Source organism: Homo sapiens, chromosome 1 (genome assembly GCF_000001405.40).
Source record: "Homo sapiens chromosome 1, GRCh38.p14 Primary Assembly".
In the NCBI taxonomy this organism is placed as follows: Eukaryota; Metazoa; Chordata; class Mammalia; order Primates; family Hominidae; genus Homo; species Homo sapiens.
In genome coordinates this window covers 1,198,670-1,216,628 of record NC_000001.11, presented here as the reverse complement: position 1 = coordinate 1,216,628, position 17,959 = coordinate 1,198,670, and the positions used below count along the sequence as shown (strand labels likewise).

The 17,959-nt window shown below is 66.5% G+C and overlaps 2 protein-coding genes across 10 annotated transcripts, besides 6 other annotated features; both read left to right on the top strand.

The window, feature by feature from the left end:
• On the top strand, positions 2,476-5,289 carry TNFRSF4 (TNF receptor superfamily member 4). Of its 6 annotated transcripts, NM_003327.4 has the most exons (7): positions 2,476-2,646; positions 2,844-2,966; positions 3,536-3,637; positions 3,925-3,991; positions 4,491-4,687; positions 4,797-4,925; positions 5,004-5,289. In NM_003327.4, exons 1-7 carry the CDS (start codon positions 2,502-2,504, stop codon positions 5,072-5,074), a joined length of 834 nt encoding a protein of 277 aa, NP_003318.1. In that variant the 5' UTR covers positions 2,476-2,501; the 3' UTR covers positions 5,075-5,289. The 6 variants fall into 6 exon arrangements, 5 of the variants coding, with proteins under 5 accessions (NP_003318.1, NP_001397638.1, XP_011540378.1 ...); NM_001410709.1 differs by having other exon boundaries at positions 4,797-5,289; XM_011542076.3 differs by lacking the exon at positions 2,476-2,646 and having other exon boundaries at positions 2,879-3,637.
• Positions 3,349-3,398: a silencer, noted in NCBI's record as "silent region_47". NCBI's record gives its function as "represses an Ori minimal core promoter by ATAC-STARR-seq in GM12878 lymphoblastoid cells {active_cell/tissue: GM12878}" and the evidence as "EXISTENCE:reporter gene assay evidence [ECO:0000049][PMID:35858748]".
• Positions 7,578-8,457: an enhancer, noted in NCBI's record as "H3K4me1 hESC enhancer chr1:1143552-1144431 (GRCh37/hg19 assembly coordinates)". NCBI's record gives its function as "activates a minimal SCP1, AML or CMV promoter by ChIP-STARR-seq in primed H9 embryonic stem cells {active_cell/tissue: H9 hESC(primed)}" and the evidence as "EXISTENCE:reporter gene assay evidence [ECO:0000049][PMID:30033119]".
• Positions 7,602-7,711: a silencer, noted in NCBI's record as "silent region_46". NCBI's record gives its function as "represses an Ori minimal core promoter by ATAC-STARR-seq in GM12878 lymphoblastoid cells {active_cell/tissue: GM12878}" and the evidence as "EXISTENCE:reporter gene assay evidence [ECO:0000049][PMID:35858748]".
• Positions 8,292-8,381: a silencer, noted in NCBI's record as "silent region_45". NCBI's record gives its function as "represses an Ori minimal core promoter by ATAC-STARR-seq in GM12878 lymphoblastoid cells {active_cell/tissue: GM12878}" and the evidence as "EXISTENCE:reporter gene assay evidence [ECO:0000049][PMID:35858748]".
• Positions 10,037-13,121, top strand: TNFRSF18 (TNF receptor superfamily member 18). Of its 4 annotated transcripts, none has more exons than NM_148902.2 (5): positions 10,037-10,244; positions 11,137-11,259; positions 12,143-12,230; positions 12,393-12,574; positions 12,661-13,121. In NM_148902.2, exons 1-5 carry the CDS (start codon positions 10,058-10,060, stop codon positions 12,783-12,785), a joined length of 705 nt encoding a protein of 234 aa, NP_683700.1. In that variant the 5' UTR covers positions 10,037-10,057; the 3' UTR covers positions 12,786-13,121. The 4 variants fall into 4 exon arrangements, with proteins under 4 accessions (NP_683700.1, NP_004186.1, NP_683699.1 ...); NM_004195.3 differs by having other exon boundaries at positions 12,393-12,595; NM_148901.2 differs by lacking the exon at positions 12,393-12,574 and having other exon boundaries at positions 12,669-13,121.
• Positions 11,254-11,454: a silencer, noted in NCBI's record as "peak6 fragment used in MPRA reporter construct". NCBI's record gives its function as "represses an SCP1 promoter by STARR-seq MPRAs in K562 erythroleukemia cells {active_cell/tissue: K562}" and the evidence as "EXISTENCE:reporter gene assay evidence [ECO:0000049][PMID:32103011]".
• Positions 14,816-15,275: a silencer, noted in NCBI's record as "silent region_44". NCBI's record gives its function as "represses an Ori minimal core promoter by ATAC-STARR-seq in GM12878 lymphoblastoid cells {active_cell/tissue: GM12878}" and the evidence as "EXISTENCE:reporter gene assay evidence [ECO:0000049][PMID:35858748]".

Genomic DNA, 17,959 nt, shown 5'->3' with positions numbered 1-17,959 from the left:
AGGATGGCAAGGTCTTTGGGTGCAGTGGGGCAGGCCTAGCCCCAGATGGGGCAGAGAATGGGGTGTGTTAGGACGGCTGGTGGGGGTCCTGCTCTGTGGCGTGTGGGGGCCCAGGCTGTGTCCTGGCTCTCCCAGTGGGAGCTCAGGGAAGCCGGGAGTGTGTCCTCTTCAGTCTGCCCTGTGGTGCCCATGTGACCGGCCTCTGCCCTGAGCCCACCTGCCCAGGGGCCCCTGTGGGGCCGAGAGGGCGGGTTGGCACCTGGGCTGGTTCCCAGGCAAACGAGATTCACAGAGCCACGGCCAGCGCAGGTGGTGGGAGGATGGTCCCACGCCCTGCTCTAAGGGGCTGTAATTCCCTGGAGCCAACCTTCGGTGGCCTGGACTCTGTCTTTCCCCATCCGTGGCCCCAGGCCACAGCCAGGGACCATCATAGCTGCAGCAGCATTCGACGCCCTGTGCTGAGGGCCGTGCACCCAGAGGTGGGAGGTGTGAGCTGAGGCCATGCTGTGCTGGACATGAAGGCGGGGGGACAGCTGGGTATGTGGTGGCACCTGGCCCTTCAGAGGCCCCAGCCAGCTCCAGTCTGGTACTGGAGGAGCAGTGGCCACTCATGGGCTGCCCTGTGCCGCCCGCGACACTACTGTGTGGAGCGGGGAGCCCAGCTCCTGGGGATGTGGTTCGAGCTGCAGGCTGCCTTACAGACCTTGGGGGTCCTGAGCTCTGGGTCAGTGTCCAGCCTCCTGTGGCCACGCCACACCCGGTTCCATGGACACAGCAGGGCTTTCTTGGACCTGTGACCTTAAGCCCAGGACAAGGAGACCTGAGCTTCCTGGGCAGCTTCAAGCAGGAGGGGCCGTGCCCCATCCTGGGGCCATTGCAGTTGCCAGCAATATGCTGGGGGTGCCCTCTCCATGGTGCACGGGCCCCACTCACTGCACCTGTGGGCAGATGTGGCCACTTAGGCCCCAGGAGAGCAGTGTTGCCCACCAAGACCCCCAGTTCACCTGAACCTCCAAGGAACCAATTGCAAATGTAAGCTTTTTCTCACTGTCAGTGGGAAACCCTTGTGAACGCTGGGTGGAACCTTCCACAAAATGCCAGAACTTTCCTCCTCTGCCCACCTGGGTTGGGGTGTGCACATGCAGGTACACACACTGTCTGGGATGCTCTGAGCCCTTCCAGGGTCCTCTCTACTTGTGGGGACGTGGGGAGGGTGACCAACTTAGGGACCCTCAGTCCGAGGGCGGGTGGCCTCTCCCTCCACTCCCTCCCTCTCCAGGGCCAGCGGGCTCCACGGCTGGGAATTTCCCCACGGGTGGGCCGAGGACAGGCAGCTGTTTCCTGTGCTCCTGGGAGGAGGGGATTTCCAGCCCCTTCCCTGCTGCTCTGTTCCTAGAGGCCCCTCTCCACTTGCAACTTCAAAAATGAACTTTTGGATAATCACAGGCTGGTCACAGTTATTTGAAAGGTGCAGAAAGGGCCCAGGGAGCCCCCAGCCCCGCACCTGCTCCCCAGCTCTCCGGGCAGTTCGCATCCTCTGGGCAAACCTGGAACCTGAGAACTGTTTGCATAGAAGGTGGAAACCTGCCTGCGTGCCCGTGTGCGCCAGGCCATCCAGGACCCACCCTCACCACCTCCTCAGAGGCCTGTCTCCAAACACTGCCACATGGGGGTTAGGGCTTCCACGCAGGAATTTAAGGGGCACAGTTCAGCCATAGACACCTGCCGTGCTCAGGCACACTCAGCGTGGGCTGTGGTCACGGGTGTCTTTTTTTTTTTTTTTGAGATGAGTCTCGCCCTGTCGCCCAGGCTGGAGTGCAGTGGCGCCACCTCTGCTTTGCAACTTCTGTCTCCTGGGTTCGAGTGATTCTGCTACCTCAGCCTCCTGACTAGCTGGGATTACCGGCGCCCGCCACCACGCCCGAATAATTTTTGTAGTTTTAGTAGAGACGGGATTTCGCCATGTTAGCCAGACTGGTCTTGAACTCCTGACCTCAGGTGATCCACCCGCCTTGGCCTCCCAAAGTGCTGGGATTACAGGCGGGAGCCACCGTGCCTGGCCATGGGTGTCTGTCTTACCATGGCTGTGGTCACTGCTGCTCAGAGCTAGTCTTGGGCATACAAGGGGGACCATGCTTCAGCAGTGCCACAGCCCTGAAGGTCCAGACTGAGGAGTTGCCTCTCCTGACTCAGTGCTGCCTCAGTTTACCCACGTGCTCCATGGACCTTTTTGCTGAGGGTCGAGCCGCAGGCCAGGCCCTACTGTGCCCTGGGGTCTGAACACGGTGGTCTTGGGCAGAAGAGGTCAGAAGGCAGAATAAGCCAATGCTGGGGGTGCCCAGACCCCGCCTTTGTGCCCAGCCCACAGCCAGGGTCCCCGGCCTGCCACCTTCCTCCTCCCGCCTCCTCTGCCCTCCTCCCCTCTCCCCTCCCCTCCTCCACAGTCCTTATAGCCACACCCCGCAAGGAAAACCCAGACTCTGGCGACAGCAGAGACGAGGATGTGCGTGGGGGCTCGGCGGCTGGGCCGCGGGCCGTGTGCGGCTCTGCTCCTCCTGGGCCTGGGGCTGAGCACCGTGACGGGGCTCCACTGTGTCGGGGACACCTACCCCAGCAACGACCGGTGCTGCCACGAGTGCAGGCCAGGTGAGGCCTCAGGAGGGGTCGCCACGCACGGGCACTCCAGGGACTGGGGGCTGGGGCAGGGATGGGCCAGCCAGGAGGCTGGTCCTGGGGAGGGGGCGGGTGAGGGGCCGGCCAAGCCTGGCAGAGGAGCCGCCTGGGGGGGTCCACGGGCGCAAGCCTGGGGCCTGACCGCTGCCTGACGCCGGCCTCTGCTGCAGGCAACGGGATGGTGAGCCGCTGCAGCCGCTCCCAGAACACGGTGTGCCGTCCGTGCGGGCCGGGCTTCTACAACGACGTGGTCAGCTCCAAGCCGTGCAAGCCCTGCACGTGGTGTAACCTCAGTGAGCTCCCACCTGGCCCCACAGCCCCACCCAGCACAGGGGGCGGCAGCCTGGCACCCACATTCCCACGCAGCAGCATGGGGCTCCCACAGCCGCAGAAACGAACCTCAAACCACAGCGGGGTCTGCTCCGCCACAGGGGTCCTTCGAGGAGCTGAGGCGTCTCCCAGGGGCACCCCCTCTCCCTCCGGGGGCCCAGACTCGGCCCAGGCCACGTGGAGTCGGGGAGACCACGCTGGCCATGTGGCCTGGCCTTGCTGGCCTGAGCAGTGAGGCTGGGGGGTTGGGCCATGGAGACCCTGCCGCAGGCGGGGCTGGCGGCTGGAGGCGGTGGAGGGGTAGGGAAGGGTGGCTGGGGCTGCCACGGAACCAGCCCCAGGTTGTGGCCAGGAAGGGAGGGCCCAGGAGCCTCGGGGGCTGCAGGGGCTCCAAGTCTCAGGGGAGGCCGCAGACCCCTGCCCACGGCCCTCTGTGTGGTGGGGAGGCCAACCTGTCCTCCAGTGCCCACGCTTCCTGAGGACCCTGTCCACAGCCCCCACCTGACCACCCCCCCATCCGGCCCCTGCTCAGGAAGTGGGAGTGAGCGGAAGCAGCTGTGCACGGCCACACAGGACACAGTCTGCCGCTGCCGGGCGGGCACCCAGCCCCTGGACAGCTACAAGCCTGGAGTTGGTGAGCTCGGTGGCTGCGGCCGGCGGTTGGGGGTGTGCATAGCGGCTGTCTGTGACGCAGATGGGCCGTGGGCCGCAGGGACCTGGCCCCACCGGTGCCTCCTCTGGCATCCTCAAGACCGAGCTCCCGGGTCAGGGCCCACGGGTGGGATGTGGGCAGGGAGGGCTTCCAGAGGCCAAACCCACCACCCAGCCATGGGGGGCAAGTGCCTGCCCCACAGGCTCTGCCCCATGTCCCCAGCACCCGGGGCCTGTGGGCAGCCCCTGACCACCCTATCTTTGTTGCAGACTGTGCCCCCTGCCCTCCAGGGCACTTCTCCCCAGGCGACAACCAGGCCTGCAAGCCCTGGACCAAGTGAGGGGCCTGGCCAGGGGCTGGGAGGGGCTGGGGGGGGGTTGGGGTGGTTAGGAGGGCGGAGGAGCTGGGGAGCTGGGAGGGGCTGGGGGGGCAGGTGGGGTGGGGGCAGTTTTGGGGGAAGGGGAGGTGCTGGTGGCCCTGGGGGCCTGGCTATGTGGCTGGACCTGGTTGGGGAGCAGGAAGCTGCTGCCTGGGGGCAGCCTTTCCCTGTGGGTGGAGCTGGGTGTGTGGGACCCTCACCCTCCGCAGCTGGGAGGCCCTGGGGGCACAGGACAGGGAGGTGCTGGTGGGGGGTGTAGATGTGGGAGAAGGGTGTGTGGCCTTGGAGGCCCCTGTGGGGGGCACGTGGGGCTGGGCAGCGTCCTTGGCTGTCACTGGCCTGGTGTCTGTGGTAGATGCTGCCTGTGGCTGGCCAGCGTGGACCCTGTTATCCCCACCGCATCTCCCGGGTCCCAGGGGGTTTCTGGCCTGAGCAACACCTCCTGTTCCCCAACAGCTGCACCTTGGCTGGGAAGCACACCCTGCAGCCGGCCAGCAATAGCTCGGACGCAATCTGTGAGGACAGGGACCCCCCAGCCACGCAGCCCCAGGAGACCCAGGGCCCCCCGGCCAGGCCCATCACTGTCCAGCCCACTGAAGCCTGGCCCAGAACCTCACAGGGACCCTCCACCCGGCCCGTGGAGGTCCCCGGGGGTAAGGGCGCCTGGCCCAGCCCAGCGGGGCCCCCAACCCGAATAGGAGAAGGGGAGGGCGGCATGGGGGCCCCTCCTGTGGACCCCACCCAGCAGACCCCTTCCTGCAGGCCGTGCGGTTGCCGCCATCCTGGGCCTGGGCCTGGTGCTGGGGCTGCTGGGCCCCCTGGCCATCCTGCTGGCCCTGTACCTGCTCCGGAGGGACCAGAGGCTGCCCCCCGATGCCCACAAGCCCCCTGGTGAGTGCCTCATGGCCCTGCCGCACTGCTCCTGGCGGGTGAGGCCCACCCACCAATCTCTCCTTTTTTCCTCCCCAGGGGGAGGCAGTTTCCGGACCCCCATCCAAGAGGAGCAGGCCGACGCCCACTCCACCCTGGCCAAGATCTGACCTGGGCCCACCAAGGTGGACGCTGGGCCCCGCCAGGCTGGAGCCCGGAGGGTCTGCTGGGCGAGCAGGGCAGGTGCAGGCCGCCTGCCCCGCCACGCTCCTGGGCCAACTCTGCACCGTTCTAGGTGCCGATGGCTGCCTCCGGCTCTCTGCTTACGTATGCCATGCATACCTCCTGCCCCGCGGGACCACAATAAAAACCTTGGCAGACGGGAGTCTCCGACCGGCACTGTGGGCTGCACACCTGTGGCATGGAGGCTTGGGCCGTGCCCGCCTCTGACTGGAGAGGGGTCTTGGGAGGCTTGGGCCGTGCCCGCCTCTGGCTGGACAGGGGTCTTGGGAGGCTTGGGCCGTGCCCGCCTCTGGCTGGAGAGGGGTCTTGGGAGACTTGGGCCGTGCCAACCTGTGGCTGGAAAGGGGTCTTGGGAGACTTGGGCCGTGCCAACCTGTGGCTGGAGAGGGGTCTTGGGAGACTTGGGCTGTGCCAACCTGTGGCTGGAGAGGGGTCTTGGGCCAGGGTGGAGGTGAGGGTAGCGGGGTCAAGTGGGACCCTGGAGGTTGGTCCCTGGGTGCGAGTTCCAGATTGAGTGGGGAGCGGGGGGAGAGACTGGGAAAGCTCAGGCCCAAGGCTGCCTGGGGTGGAGGTTCCTGGCCAGGCGCTGACAAGGGCAGCTGGCCCCTGAGCCCCGGGTTGCCCAAGGAGCTTGGGAGTGGCTGACCCCCGGGGCTCTGTGTCCTTGGAGGAGGAGTGTAGAGACCTGCCCCTCTTCCCCTCCACACCTACGCCCACCCCTTGCTGCACCTGGAAGGGGGTCCCAGGGCCCCTGAGCACCCCGAGGAGTCCCTGCAAAGGGCCCACACGGCCCCTATGTCCCTGCCATAGGTGTCCAGGGGGACAGTCACCTTGGAAACCACAGTTTCTGCTTGAGCCAACTTTCTGTCCACCCTGGGCCCCGGCCGTCCCACTCCTGCGCACTTAAGAGTCCTGGGATCTGAATGAGAATGACCACAGCGACTTCATGTAACGTGGCCCCACAGTGGAGAAACCCAGGCATCCGCCAGCAGCGTGGATGCGCGAGTGCTGGCGTGTTCAGATGAGCTCCCAGCTCCTCGGCCCACACCACAGGTGTCCACAGACGCTCCCAAGGCCCTGGGGCCGTCCCCGGCCGTGCGGGAATCTTCTCAAGCTGGTGTCTGGGAGTGGGGTATCCTTCGAGCAGCACAGAGCCTGCTCCCGAGCGCCAGTCACGCCCGAGGCCACAGCTCGGGAACAAGGCGGGAGCAGCCCTGCAGGCTTCCCGCAGGGAAGACACCCCGGGCGTCTAAGCGACATCTGTGTCCCTCGGGAGGCGGAGGTGCCTGTTCGCCTCCATGGTGTCAGGGGCTGAAGAGAAACACTCCCGAGGGCTAAGACGTCTCACTGCACTTGTTTTTTCTTTCTTTTTTTTTTTTTGCCGGAGTCTTGCTGTGTCACCCAGGCTGGAGTGCAGTGGTGTGATCTCAGCTCACCAACCTCTGCCTCCCGGGTTCACGCCATTCTCCTGCCTCAGCCTCCCAAGTAGCTGGGACTACAGGCGCCCAGCACCACACCCGGCTAATTTTTGTATTTTATTAGAGACAGGGTTTCACCATGTTGGCTAAGCTGGTCTTGAACTCCTGACCTCAGGTGATCCACCTGCCTCGGTGCCCTGGAGTACTGCGATTCCAGGTGTGAGCCACCACGCCTGGCCCTCACTGCACTCATGAGCAAGAAACACACAGCCGAGGCCGGTCACGGTGGCTCACGCCTAGAATCCTAGCACTTTGGGAGGCTGAGGCCAGACGATCGTCTGAGCTCAGGAGTTTGAGACCCGCCTGGGTAACATGGCAAGACCCTTTTCTATGAAAAATAGAAAAAATCAGCCGGGTGTGGTGGTGCATGCCTGTGGTCCCGGCTACTTGGGAGGCCGAGGTGGGAGGATCACTTGAGCCCAAGAGATGGAGGCTGCAGTGAGACGTGACTGGAAAAAAAAAAAGAAATTTAAAAAAATTACTTAAGAAGAAACACATGAAGCCTCATGGAAGGTTTTGCTGAGGGCCTGGCACAGCCTGGACACTCCGGCTACCGTGGCTGGTGTGGCCCAGCCCCGCAGCTGCACCCGCTGCCCCACACAGCGTCCCTGGGCCAGCCTTCCCTCTCCCTGCGTCCTCCAACAGCGCACGCTGCCCACGGCTGTCCAGGCCTCCTGTGCCTGGCGGATGGCTCCCCCCTGCCGGTGTCGTGGAAGTGGGGAACCGGCCCCGGGGGTGCACAGTGGGAGCGCCACGCGCCACTCACAACAGCCCAAGGTGCCGGGACCACAGGTGGCTGTAAGGAAGACGCCCATCTCTGGCCTCGGGCTGCCCTGGACCCCTCCTGCCTCTGCAGCTGGTTTTCTCCCCTGGGTCTCTCTCTCCTCAAACCTCTGTCTTCCACCCACTCTCTGCTAACCACAAGCCTCCCCCCCCGCAGCATAGGGAAGTCAGAGGCCGTCCTGTCCCCCATCCAGCACCTTCACCGAGTTCCCCGGGTTCCTGCACACGGTTCAGCCTGCAGGCCCTGCACAGGGTTGGGGCCGCGCCTCTGAGAGCCCCCCGCCCCCCGCCCCGTGGGGCAGGCGAGGCCAGACCTCCAGGCAGGATGGCGGGTGGGTGGGGGAAGGGGTCAGGTGGCCGGGACTGGAGCGGCCAGATCCTGTGGGGCCCGCAGGTCGACGGCTATGGGAAAGGGGCCTCCTCCCCAAACCTGGCGCCCATACCCATCGCTTCCTGTCTCCTCCCCTCTGGGCACAGCACCCCCCAGGCCCCGTGGGACTTATTCCCCAGCAGGACCCCTTGCCGCACCCCCAGATGGACACGGGGCCACCTCCTCTTGGTCTCCATGCTCACCCTCCCCGCCCCCTCGCCTGACGCCATCTCTGCTGGCAACTCCTGTGCCATCTGTGCCGAAGGCCCTGCCTGAACTCTGGCTCAGTGCCCATCTGCACCCTCCCCGTGGGGCCTCACAGCTGCCCTTCTGGACGTACGCAAGGGCTGTCCCTCGCCCGGCCCGTGGGCTGCTCTGCTGTGTGAATGCCCCGTCATTTGTGTCACCGGTGAGCTGCTCAATAAGATGAACAAGTCACCTCCAGCCTCGCAGCCCAAGGATAGGAGTCACGGGGAGCCGGGGAGGGGCCTTCTGCGGCGAGAGGGATGGGAGGGTGGACGTCACACCCCTGCAGCCCCTCCGGGGACCACCCTGTGTGGCAAGCTGCTCTCCGGCTGTTCAAAGTGTCAGCTGCGCCACGGGGCGGGGGGGAGGGGCTCCTCTGCCCGCTGGCCGCCTCCCACTTGGCCCCATAAACTGCTCGCTCCTCTAACTCTGTCCCTGCCTCTAGATGGATGACTCACACCGTGTGGTCTGATGAGCATTCTTTATTTTTTGTGATGGAGTCTCGCTCTGTCACCCAGGCTGGAGTGCAATGGTGCCATCTTGGTTCGCCGCAACCTCTGCCTCCCAGGTTCAAGCAATTCTCCTGCCTCAGCCTCCCGAGTAGCTGGGATTACAGGCGTGCGCCACCACGCCTGGCTAATTTTTTTTGTATTTTTAGTAGAGACGGGCTTTCTCCATGTGGGTCAGGCTGGTCTCGAACCCCTGACCTCAGGTGATCCGAGGCCCACCTCGGCCTCCCAAAATGCTGGGATTACGGGCGTGAGCCACTGATGGCGCCTCTTTCTATCCAGGGGCCCAGACCCCCTCCCAGCCTCGGGGCTGAAGATCTCCAGGCCTCTCAAAGGCCCCCAGGCCCAGCTGGCCCCACCCCTTTCCTTCCGAGCGTCGGGGCGGCCTGGAGCTGCAGAGACCCCTTCCTTCTCTGCAGTGTCTGAGGGCTGCCTCTCCAAGGCAGGCTCCTACATCTTGGATTTGAGAACTCCGGGGTGTCACAAACAGCTAATTCCTGTCATTTACCTTGGAAAAGGAGGAACCGCCTTACGGGGTGAGGCGGTGGCTGCAGGTCTCAAAAGGGTGTTGAACCACATCCACGCTCACGTTCCCGAGAGCCCCCACCCCCAGCATTCATGGGGGTCTCCACCTGTGCTGGACGGCGCAGAAGCAGGGCTGGGCAATCCAGGGAGGCTTCCTGGTGGAGGCAGGGTCCCAGAACCCCTCGGTGCCCACAGGGGAAACTGAGGCTCAGAAAGACATAGGACAGTCTCCCAAGAGCTCTGCGAGGGGCTCCTCCTCAACTCCCTCCGGGACCTGGATCTGTCTGGTGTGACGGATGAAGGTGGCTCTGAGAGACCGGGCCCTGGGTGCCCGCGGGGGCGGCTGACACTGTCCCGAGGAGGCGCCAGCACCCTCTCGTCTCCCCACCAGCTCCTCCTGGTGCCCCTCCCAAGCCCCGGGGAACTTCCCAGGTTGGCCTGAGGGGGGTCCTGGAGAGCTGCAAGCAAGGGGGAGGGGAGCCCACAGGCCTGCAGCCCATGGTGAGTTTCACACCTGAAGCCAGCCAGGTGGGGTGTGCTGAGCCGAGGGGTCCCTGTCCCCATTCTGTGGGGTTCCCCAGCACGGGGCTCCATGGTTGAGGCTCTCTGGGGGTGGCCAGAATTTGTGGAGACCTCTCGGGGACTCGCAGATACCACCCGGAGGCAGTGGGATGGAGGAGTGATTGGCTGACCCCCGCCCTCCAAGGGGCCCCCATGGGACAAGGTGCTATAAACGCCGCCCCCTGCACTGGGGACACCAATGTGGCCGCAGACTTTGCATAGAAAACCTTTCTGATCCCCGCCAGCCTGGTTTCCCCGCCCCTGCCGGCGACCTGCGGGGGACCGGGCTGTGTCCGCAGTGTCTACACCCCCTCCTCACACGCACTTCACCTGGGTCGGGATTCTCAGGTCATGAACGGTCCCAGCCACCTCCGGGCAGGGCGGGTGAGGACGGGGACGGGGCGTGTCCAACTGGCTGTGGGCTCTTGAAACCCGAGCATGGCACAGCACGGGGCGATGGGCGCGTTTCGGGCCCTGTGCGGCCTGGCGCTGCTGTGCGCGCTCAGCCTGGGTCAGCGCCCCACCGGGGGTCCCGGGTGCGGCCCTGGGCGCCTCCTGCTTGGGACGGGAACGGACGCGCGCTGCTGCCGGGTTCACACGACGCGCTGCTGCCGCGATTACCCGGGTAAGTAAACCGCGTTTACTTAACGCGGACCGGCCAAGGCGTCCCGCGGAAGCCGGGATGGGTGGGCGCCCCCCTTCCCGTGCTCAGACCGGCGTTGCTGAGGTCTAAGGAGGGTGGGCACAGAGCCGCCAGCAGCGGGAGCCTTCCGGAGGGAGGCAGGATCCCAGAGGGAGGCGGAGGTGTGCCAGCTCCAGCCAGTGGCCCCGGCCGGGAGCAGGGGTGAGCCAGGTGGGAGCGCCCTCAAGAGGGGTCTGGGGTCTGGAGGTGGAGGACGGCTGTTCCAGGTCCTGCTGGGCGGGTCGTGAGCCCTTGGCCATCGCCCAGCCCCCTCCTGCCCAGTTGAGGGCCCCCCTGCACCACCGTCTGGCCTGCTGCCTGCCTCTGACCTGCACCTGGGGATGAGGGTTCAGCTGACACGGCTGGTCTGGAGAGGAAGCTGGCAGGGAAGTCACCCCAGAGCTTCTTCCTCCAGGGCCTGTGGGTTGGGAAGGGAGGCTCTGTCCGGAGGCCCAGTGTGGCTGGTGGTGGGGACAGCAGCGCCCAGACACCAGGCAGGCGGCCTCTGAGGTGTCGACGGGCCTCCAGGGGACTGTGCACTGTTGGGGGCCACCCCTGGGTCCTGCAGGGGCAGCTCCTGGTTGCATATGGAGTTAGCACCTGGGCAGGGGCAGCTGTGGGGCGCAAAGGGGGAGTAGCCAGGCCACATGGCCCCAGGAGAAAGAGACAGCTGGATAAACCCAGGGTCCAGACTCCCAGCCAGGAGCCCTCTGCTCCCTGGAGCCAACTGTGGGTGGAGAACGGACAACCTCACTCCCCTGGAGGGCCGAGGGGAGGCCTGGGGAGGAGGGGGCCTCAGCCCAGCTGCTGGGGGGCTGGCCTGTCTCCTGCCCAGGCGAGGAGTGCTGTTCCGAGTGGGACTGCATGTGTGTCCAGCCTGAATTCCACTGCGGAGACCCTTGCTGCACGACCTGCCGGCACCACCCTTGTCCCCCAGGCCAGGGGGTACAGTCCCAGGGTAAGTCCTGGAGGTGCCTCTGGGAGTCCACACAGGCCAGGGGTTCCACTAGGGCCCGAGGCAGAGCTCGTGGGCACAGGTGTCCGGCGAGGACATGTGGTGTGTGGGGTCCGGAGTCCTGTGAGGCCGGGCAGGCCAGGCCATGCTCAGGCACCACAGGCCATGAAGCTCTGGGGGTGTCCTGTCCCTGCTTTCTCAGCCTGGGCTTCTCCATCCAGCACGAGGGCTGTGAGAACCCTGCGGGGAGGTGGGGGCGGGTTCCAGGAGCTGTCTGGCTCTCAGGCCCGGGACACCCATCCTGTCTGTCCTCACCACATACTGAAAGAGCCTGCCCTGTGCCCCCCGGAGTCCTGTCTGGGGCCTGGGGCTGCACCCTGTTCTGGAAGGAGCAGCTCAAGTCCTCTTAGCGGCTTGTTTACCTGACAGGAGAGGTCAGGCTGGGCACATGAGAGCTGGGAGAAGGTACAACTGGGGAGGTTGTGTCAGGTTGGACGGGGCAGGGTCTGGGGTCAACTGGGACCCAGCCTCACTCTCTCTGGGACCCTCACTGTTCTCCACCCTCTGTTCTACTGGGTCCTGCCTGGCTTCTGCCCACCCTCAGCCCCCAATGGGCAGGCCTTTCCCCTCCCTGGCAGGCCCACTGCACTCTGCGCACCTCCCCCAGGTGCCCTCACTGGGCCCCACCCCAGACGCCCCACCTGGGACGGGCAGACATGGGCCCCAGTCCTGGGCCATGAAGAACTCTGTTGAATGGATGATGGGGGGGGCATTCTACTCAGCACCCAGACCCCAGATGGACCCCTGCACTGGCCTGACGCCCTCCTCATCCATCCCAGCAACTCCACCAGCCTCCCTCCCTCCCTCCCCCCACACCCCACACCAGGGAAATTCAGTTTTGGCTTCCAGTGTATCGACTGTGCCTCGGGGACCTTCTCCGGGGGCCACGAAGGCCACTGCAAACCTTGGACAGAGTGAGTCCTGGGTGGGCCCTGCCGGTGGCCGGGTGGTCCAGGCCCACTCTGAGGAAGGGTCCTCTCCTGTCCCTTGCCCCAGACAGCACGGAGGGCAGCAGCCGGGGGCTGATCGGAGGCCGTGTCCGGGGGCTGATAGGAGGCCGCGTCCATGTATTCCAGCTGCACCCAGTTCGGGTTTCTCACTGTGTTCCCTGGGAACAAGACCCACAACGCTGTGTGCGTCCCAGGGTCCCCGCCGGCAGAGCCGCTTGGGTGGCTGACCGTCGTCCTCCTGGCCGTGGCCGCCTGCGTCCTCCTCCTGACCTCGGCCCAGCTTGGACTGCACATCTGGCAGCTGAGGAGTCAGTGCATGTGGCCCCGAGGTCTGTCACAGCCTGGTGCGGGGAGGTGGGAGCATGGCTGCCTGCTGACCGTGGCCCCCCTGCAGAGACCCAGCTGCTGCTGGAGGTGCCGCCGTCGACCGAAGACGCCAGAAGCTGCCAGTTCCCCGAGGAAGAGCGGGGCGAGCGATCGGCAGAGGAGAAGGGGCGGCTGGGAGACCTGTGGGTGTGAGCCTGGCCGTCCTCCGGGGCCACCGACCGCAGCCAGCCCCTCCCCAGGAGCTCCCCAGGCCGCAGGGGCTCTGCGTTCTGCTCTGGGCCGGGCCCTGCTCCCCTGGCAGCAGAAGTGGGTGCAGGAAGGTGGCAGTGACCAGCGCCCTGGACCATGCAGTTCGGCGGCCGCGGCTGGGCCCTGCAGGAGGGAGAGAGAGACACAGTCATGGCCCCCTTCCTCCCTTGCTGGCCCTGATGGGGTGGGGTCTTAGGACGGGAGGCTGTGTCCGTGGGTGTGCAGTGCCCAGCACGGGACCCGGCTGCAGGGGACCTTCAATAAACACTTGTCCAGTGACCTGAGTGGATGCATGCTGGGTGCTGGGGGAGGACGGGGCACCCGGGGCTGGGCTTTGGGGCACCGTGCTCATGCCTGGCCGTGGTCCCCTCCACAGGGGGCAAAGCGGAGGGCAGCCAGGGCCCATTCTGGGAACTCCTGGCTGGGTGGGGGTGGGGCCCGAGGAGGGGCCATTCCAGTCCTGGGCCCAGCGCTCCTCAGGGATACAGGCTCAGCGGCTTCCCCCGTTCTGGGGCTCTTCTCTGGTGCCCCTGGGTCTCTGGTTTCTGGCCACACAGCCTGCCGGCCCCCGGGTGCCATCCAGCACTTTCTGGTGCTGGGCGGCCCCGTCTCCAGGCCAGCCCTCTCTCCTCACCATCCCACCCTCGGCCCGCCCAGCCTCCCACTCCAGGCTCCAGGTGAGATCTGATACAGGCTCCCTCAGCTGCCGGGGAGTGGCGGGCAGGCTGGTGCAGGCGTCTCAGCAGCACCCTGGAGGCACAGCACACCTGGCCCCCAGCTCAGCTCCCAGTGGGGCGGTGGGCCCAGCTCACAGTAGGTGGACGGGGCAGAGGGGACGTCTGCTCCCCTCCCCCCCCAACATGGGACCTGGAGTGTGGAGAGCCCAAGGGTGGCACAGGGACACTGGGGAAGGTGCTCAGCCCTGGAGGCAGGACCCGGCCCTTCGGCGTCGTGGAGTACTGGGCTCGGGGCTGGGTACTGGGCTTGGGGATGGGTACTGGGCTGGAGGCTGGGTACTGGGCTCGGGGATGGGTACTGGGCTGGAGGCTGGGTACTGGGCTAGAGGCTGGGTACTGGGCTCGGGGCTGGGTACTGGGCTGGAGGCTGGGTACTGGGCTCGGGGATGGGTACTGGGCTGGAGGCTGGGTACTGGGCTCGGGGATGGGTACTGGGCTGGAGGCTGGGTACTGGGCTCGGGGATGGGTACTGGGCTGGAGGCTGGGTGCTGGGCTCGGGGCTGGGTACTGGGCTCGGGGCTGGGTACTGGGCTCGGGGCTGGGTACTGGGCTGGGGGCTGGGTACTGGGCTCGGGGCTGGGTACTGGGCTGGAGGCTGGGTACTGGGCTGGAGGCTGGGTACTGGGCTGGGGGCTGGGTACTGGGCTCGGGGCTGGGTACTGGGCTGGAGGCTGGGTACTGGGCTCGGGGCTGGGTACTGGGCTGGAGGCTGGGTACTGGGCTGGGGGCTGGGTACTGGGCTCGGGGCTGGGTACTGGGCTGGGGGCTGGGTACTGGGCTGGAGGCTGGGTACTGGGCTCGGGGCTGGGTACTGGGCTGGAGGCTGGGTACTGGGCTCGGGGCTGGGTACTGGGCTGGAGGCTGGGTACTGGGCTCGGGGCTGGGTACTGGGCTGGAGGCTGGGTACTGGGCTCGGGGCTGGGTACTGGGCTGGAGGCTGGGTACTGGGCTCGGGGCTGGGTACTGGGCTGGAGGCTGGGTACTGGGCTCGGGGCTGGGTACTGGGCTGGAGGCTGGGTACTGGGCTCGGGGCTGGGTACTGGGCTGGAGGCTGGGTACTGGGCTCGGGGCTGGGTACTGGGCTGGAGGCTGGGTACTGGGCTCGGGGCTGGGTACTGGGCTGGAGGCTGGGTACTGGGCTCGGGGCTGGGTACTGGGCTGGAGGCTGGGTACTGGGCTCGGGGCTGGGTACTGGGCTGGAGGCTGGGTACTGGGCTCGGGGCTGGGTACTGGGCTGGAGGCTGGGTACTGGGCTCGGGGCTGGGTACTGGCTCGGCGCGCTCCTCCCGTGTGAGCCCCGGGGAGGCTGAGCGGTCGGGCCCTGCCCCGCGCACTCCTGCCTGCAGCCCGGATCCTCCCCGCCTGGCCCCGGCTCTCCCCACGCGCCCCCCACACCGGGGCTGTCCCGCACCGGCCCCAGAAAACACCGGCGGCCCGCGTAGCGCGGGTCCCGCGGGGCTGACTCAGCGCGGAAACTCCTCGTGGGCGGCCTCGCGTGGGCCTCGGCGCGGAAACGTCAGCGCGGGGGCGGCCGGGCTGACGCACAGCGGACGGGCGGGGGATTCCGCGGGCGGCGGAGCGGGCTCTGGGCGGGGTCTCCGGAGTCTCCGGCTCCTCCCGGGCCCGCCCCGCGCGCTTTACCTGGAGCGCGACCCTCCGGGCCTGGCGGGGGCCCCAGCGTGCGTCGCGGAGCCCGGGGGAGGCGGGCGGGTTCTCGCGCGTGGGGGCGGGGGCGCCTCCAGGGGTCTCAGTGGGGGAGGCCGAGGCCAGCGCGAACCCGCCATGGAGGGGGGGGTCCCAAGGGCGCGGAGGGTCGGGCGGGGCCGGGTGCGGAGAAGGGGCCGGGGTCGCGGCGGAGAGGCCGCCGCCCCCTCCCACTCGGGGCGCAGTGGTCTCGGCTCCACGGGGAGGGGCCCCTCTCTGCTCCCCCTGGAAGCCCGAGCCACTCGCACAGGGCGGCCTCCATCTGCCCGGAAAACCGCAGCCGCCCCAACCTCCCGCTGGGGTCGGACTTTTGAGAAAAGGGCCGGAGGCCACCTCTGTTCCCAGAAGCGCTTCCGGCCGCTGCGGAGCCTCCCCTCCCAGCCAGCCCCCTCCCCACCCTCCACTGAGATCTGGACTTGGCCCTGCGGGAACCCCCCGCAGCTGACAGAGACACCTATGGCGGGGGCCCCTTCGCAGACAGAGCTGGACACAGCCTTTCCCAGCGCCAGGACAGGTGGGGAGGTCCTTGAGGGACAGGTGGTCCCCGGCTGCCCCAGCTGCTGGGATCTGTGCCCGCTGACCAGGACCTGGGTCATCACTGCTGTCCCCTCCGATGCTGGGCTGAGCTCTGAGGACAGGACAGGAGAGGGCTAGCTCCTCTCGGCCAGTGACCCTCATGGGAGGCGGTGGCGCCTGGCGTTGGGGAGGAAGCAGACCCCCGCCTCTCACAAATCTCATCTTCCTGGAAACCAGGAATTGGGGGTCTTTCCGGAGTTGGTAATTCAGTTGTCCTGGTCCCCGTCTTAAAGACACACTCAGGGGAGACGGGCTGGAGGGGGCGGGGGCACAGGGGGCCCCATGGACACGCAGGCCTCGAGTCCTCCGGGGTCCGAGGTCTCTTTAGCTGAAACAGACACGCAGGCCCACTGGCCCTCAGCAGACCCCAGGCCCCCGCTGCTGGTGAGAGTGTGCTGGCCAGGCCCCACGATGGAGGCTGTGGGGATGGAGGGTGTGTGGCTGTACCTGGGTCCGAGTGGGGGGCAGCTTAATCCCCCACACCTTCCCCTTGAGTCCGCTACCTGGCAGCAGGACCCAGGACTCACCTGTGGAAGAGAGAGGGGGAGAGGGAGGTGGGGGGGTCAGCTGTCAGGAACCTCCACCTTGGGTCCCAGGCTCCAGCTTGGCGCCGTCTCCAGGAAGCGCCCTGACCCTGCCTGAACTTCTCGTGTCCCCGAGGAGTTCTGATGCCTTTCCTGTGGCCCCTGGCTGGTCACTTCACTTGAATATTGGGGAGCACCTTGTACTGCCAGATACTCAGGCACCCACAGTCCCCCTCTCCCTGGTGGTCCATGCTGTTGTGACCTCGCAGACGGGTGCTTACGGGCTGGGCGGCGGGGATGTGGCCGTTGTTCCTGGGTTCTCTGGAAACCTTGTTTATTCATTGACTTTTGGGCTCTTTGGGGCACCAAGGACTCCTGAACAGTATCTGGGTCCTCAGCTTAGGTCTTCAGGGGGCCCTGGGTTGCAGGGGGTGGGGCTCGGTCACGCCAGGGCAGGCCACTGCCAGCGTGCACCCTCCTCATGGGTTCTGGCGGTGACACATCCAGTCAGGGCCCAGGGGCGGCAAAGGTTCCATTGTCCCCTCGGGCTCAGGTGACCTCTGCTGACGTCGTGGGGCCCCTGAGCCTGGGGGTGTAACCACACGCGCCACAGGGAGGGGAGCTGGACGGTTCCAATGTCACCAGGGGATGTAGTCCTGACCTGGGATCATGGCGCGACACAGCACCAGGCATGTGGGGCAGAGCCGAGGGCAGAGGCCGGAGGGCACAGGGGCCCCAGGGGCATCAGGGTAGCAAGAGCAGAGGGAGGACCCTGAGGTGATGTGGCCATTAGCGGCCTTGGAAGCCGTCAGGCAGTGTGGCCCTGACCCCTAAGAGCAGGTGTGGATTAACCAAGTCCTGGGTGCTTGGCCAGCCATGGAGGCTTCACCCCTCCCAGGCCCCTCCTGCTTCACCCCTCCCTGGCCTCAGTGGGCTGCAGAACAGGCCGCTGCTGCCCTTGGCCCCCAGAGGGTCCAACAGACCTGCTGGGAGGGGACTGGGGACCCCATCACAATGACAGGTGTGTTCCCAGCCCCTCACCTGGGAACCCCCACTCCAGGCCCCAGCGAAAGGACCATGTTGGTGGGGGCTGCCCCTGGCCTGGGGTGGTTCCTCACTGGCTCTGAGACCTGGGGCCTCCTTTGGCCTCTGTGGTCCCCAGTTCCCTCTGTCCTGCCTTCTCCTCTTCCTGGCGCCCTGGCTGTGCCCCACCTGCTGTGCTGGCCAGAGACCACAGCCGACGGTGCCTTCTAGCAGTGCCGGGGCTGCCGAGTCCCAGGGAATGGAGCTGCTGTCCCTGTGGAGCGCAGGGTGGCCACGTGGCCAAAGCAGATTCTGCTGGCCCCTCAGTCCCCCGTGGCTGCGGAGCAGGGCAGGAGGAGGGACCGGCGACTTGGCCGTGACCGTGTGGAGTCGGAGGCAGGGCATGTGGGGGGTGGGCCTGGGGGCGGGGCCCCCCGATCCTCAGGTCTCGACTTGGGGGGCACAGACACCTTGAGCCAGCCATTGGGAAGAGGCCCATACACTTTAGCTCTCTGGGTGGGAGATGAGTGAGGGGGTGGGTAGTGTGGACGCC

Excerpts from the sequence above, each read along its gene's own strand:
- TNFRSF4 (XM_011542074.3), top strand. The coding sequence starts at position 3,256 with ATGGAGACCCTGCCGCAGGCGGGGCTGGCGGCTGGAGGCGGTGGAGGG. Across the intron at positions 3,638-3,924 it reads CAGCTACAAGCCTGGAGTTG|ACTGTGCCCCCTGCCCTCCA; the intron begins GTGAGCTCGGTG and ends TCTTTGTTGCAG. Across the intron at positions 4,688-4,796 it reads GCCCGTGGAGGTCCCCGGGG|GCCGTGCGGTTGCCGCCATC; the intron begins GTAAGGGCGCCT and ends CCCTTCCTGCAG.
- TNFRSF18 (XM_017002722.3), top strand. The coding sequence starts at position 10,058 with ATGGCACAGCACGGGGCGATGGGCGCGTTTCGGGCCCTGTGCGGCCTG. Across the intron at positions 10,245-11,136 it reads CTGCTGCCGCGATTACCCGG|GCGAGGAGTGCTGTTCCGAG; the intron begins GTAAGTAAACCG and ends TCTCCTGCCCAG. Across the intron at positions 12,231-12,392 it reads CACTGCAAACCTTGGACAGA|CTGCACCCAGTTCGGGTTTC; the intron begins GTGAGTCCTGGG and ends CATGTATTCCAG.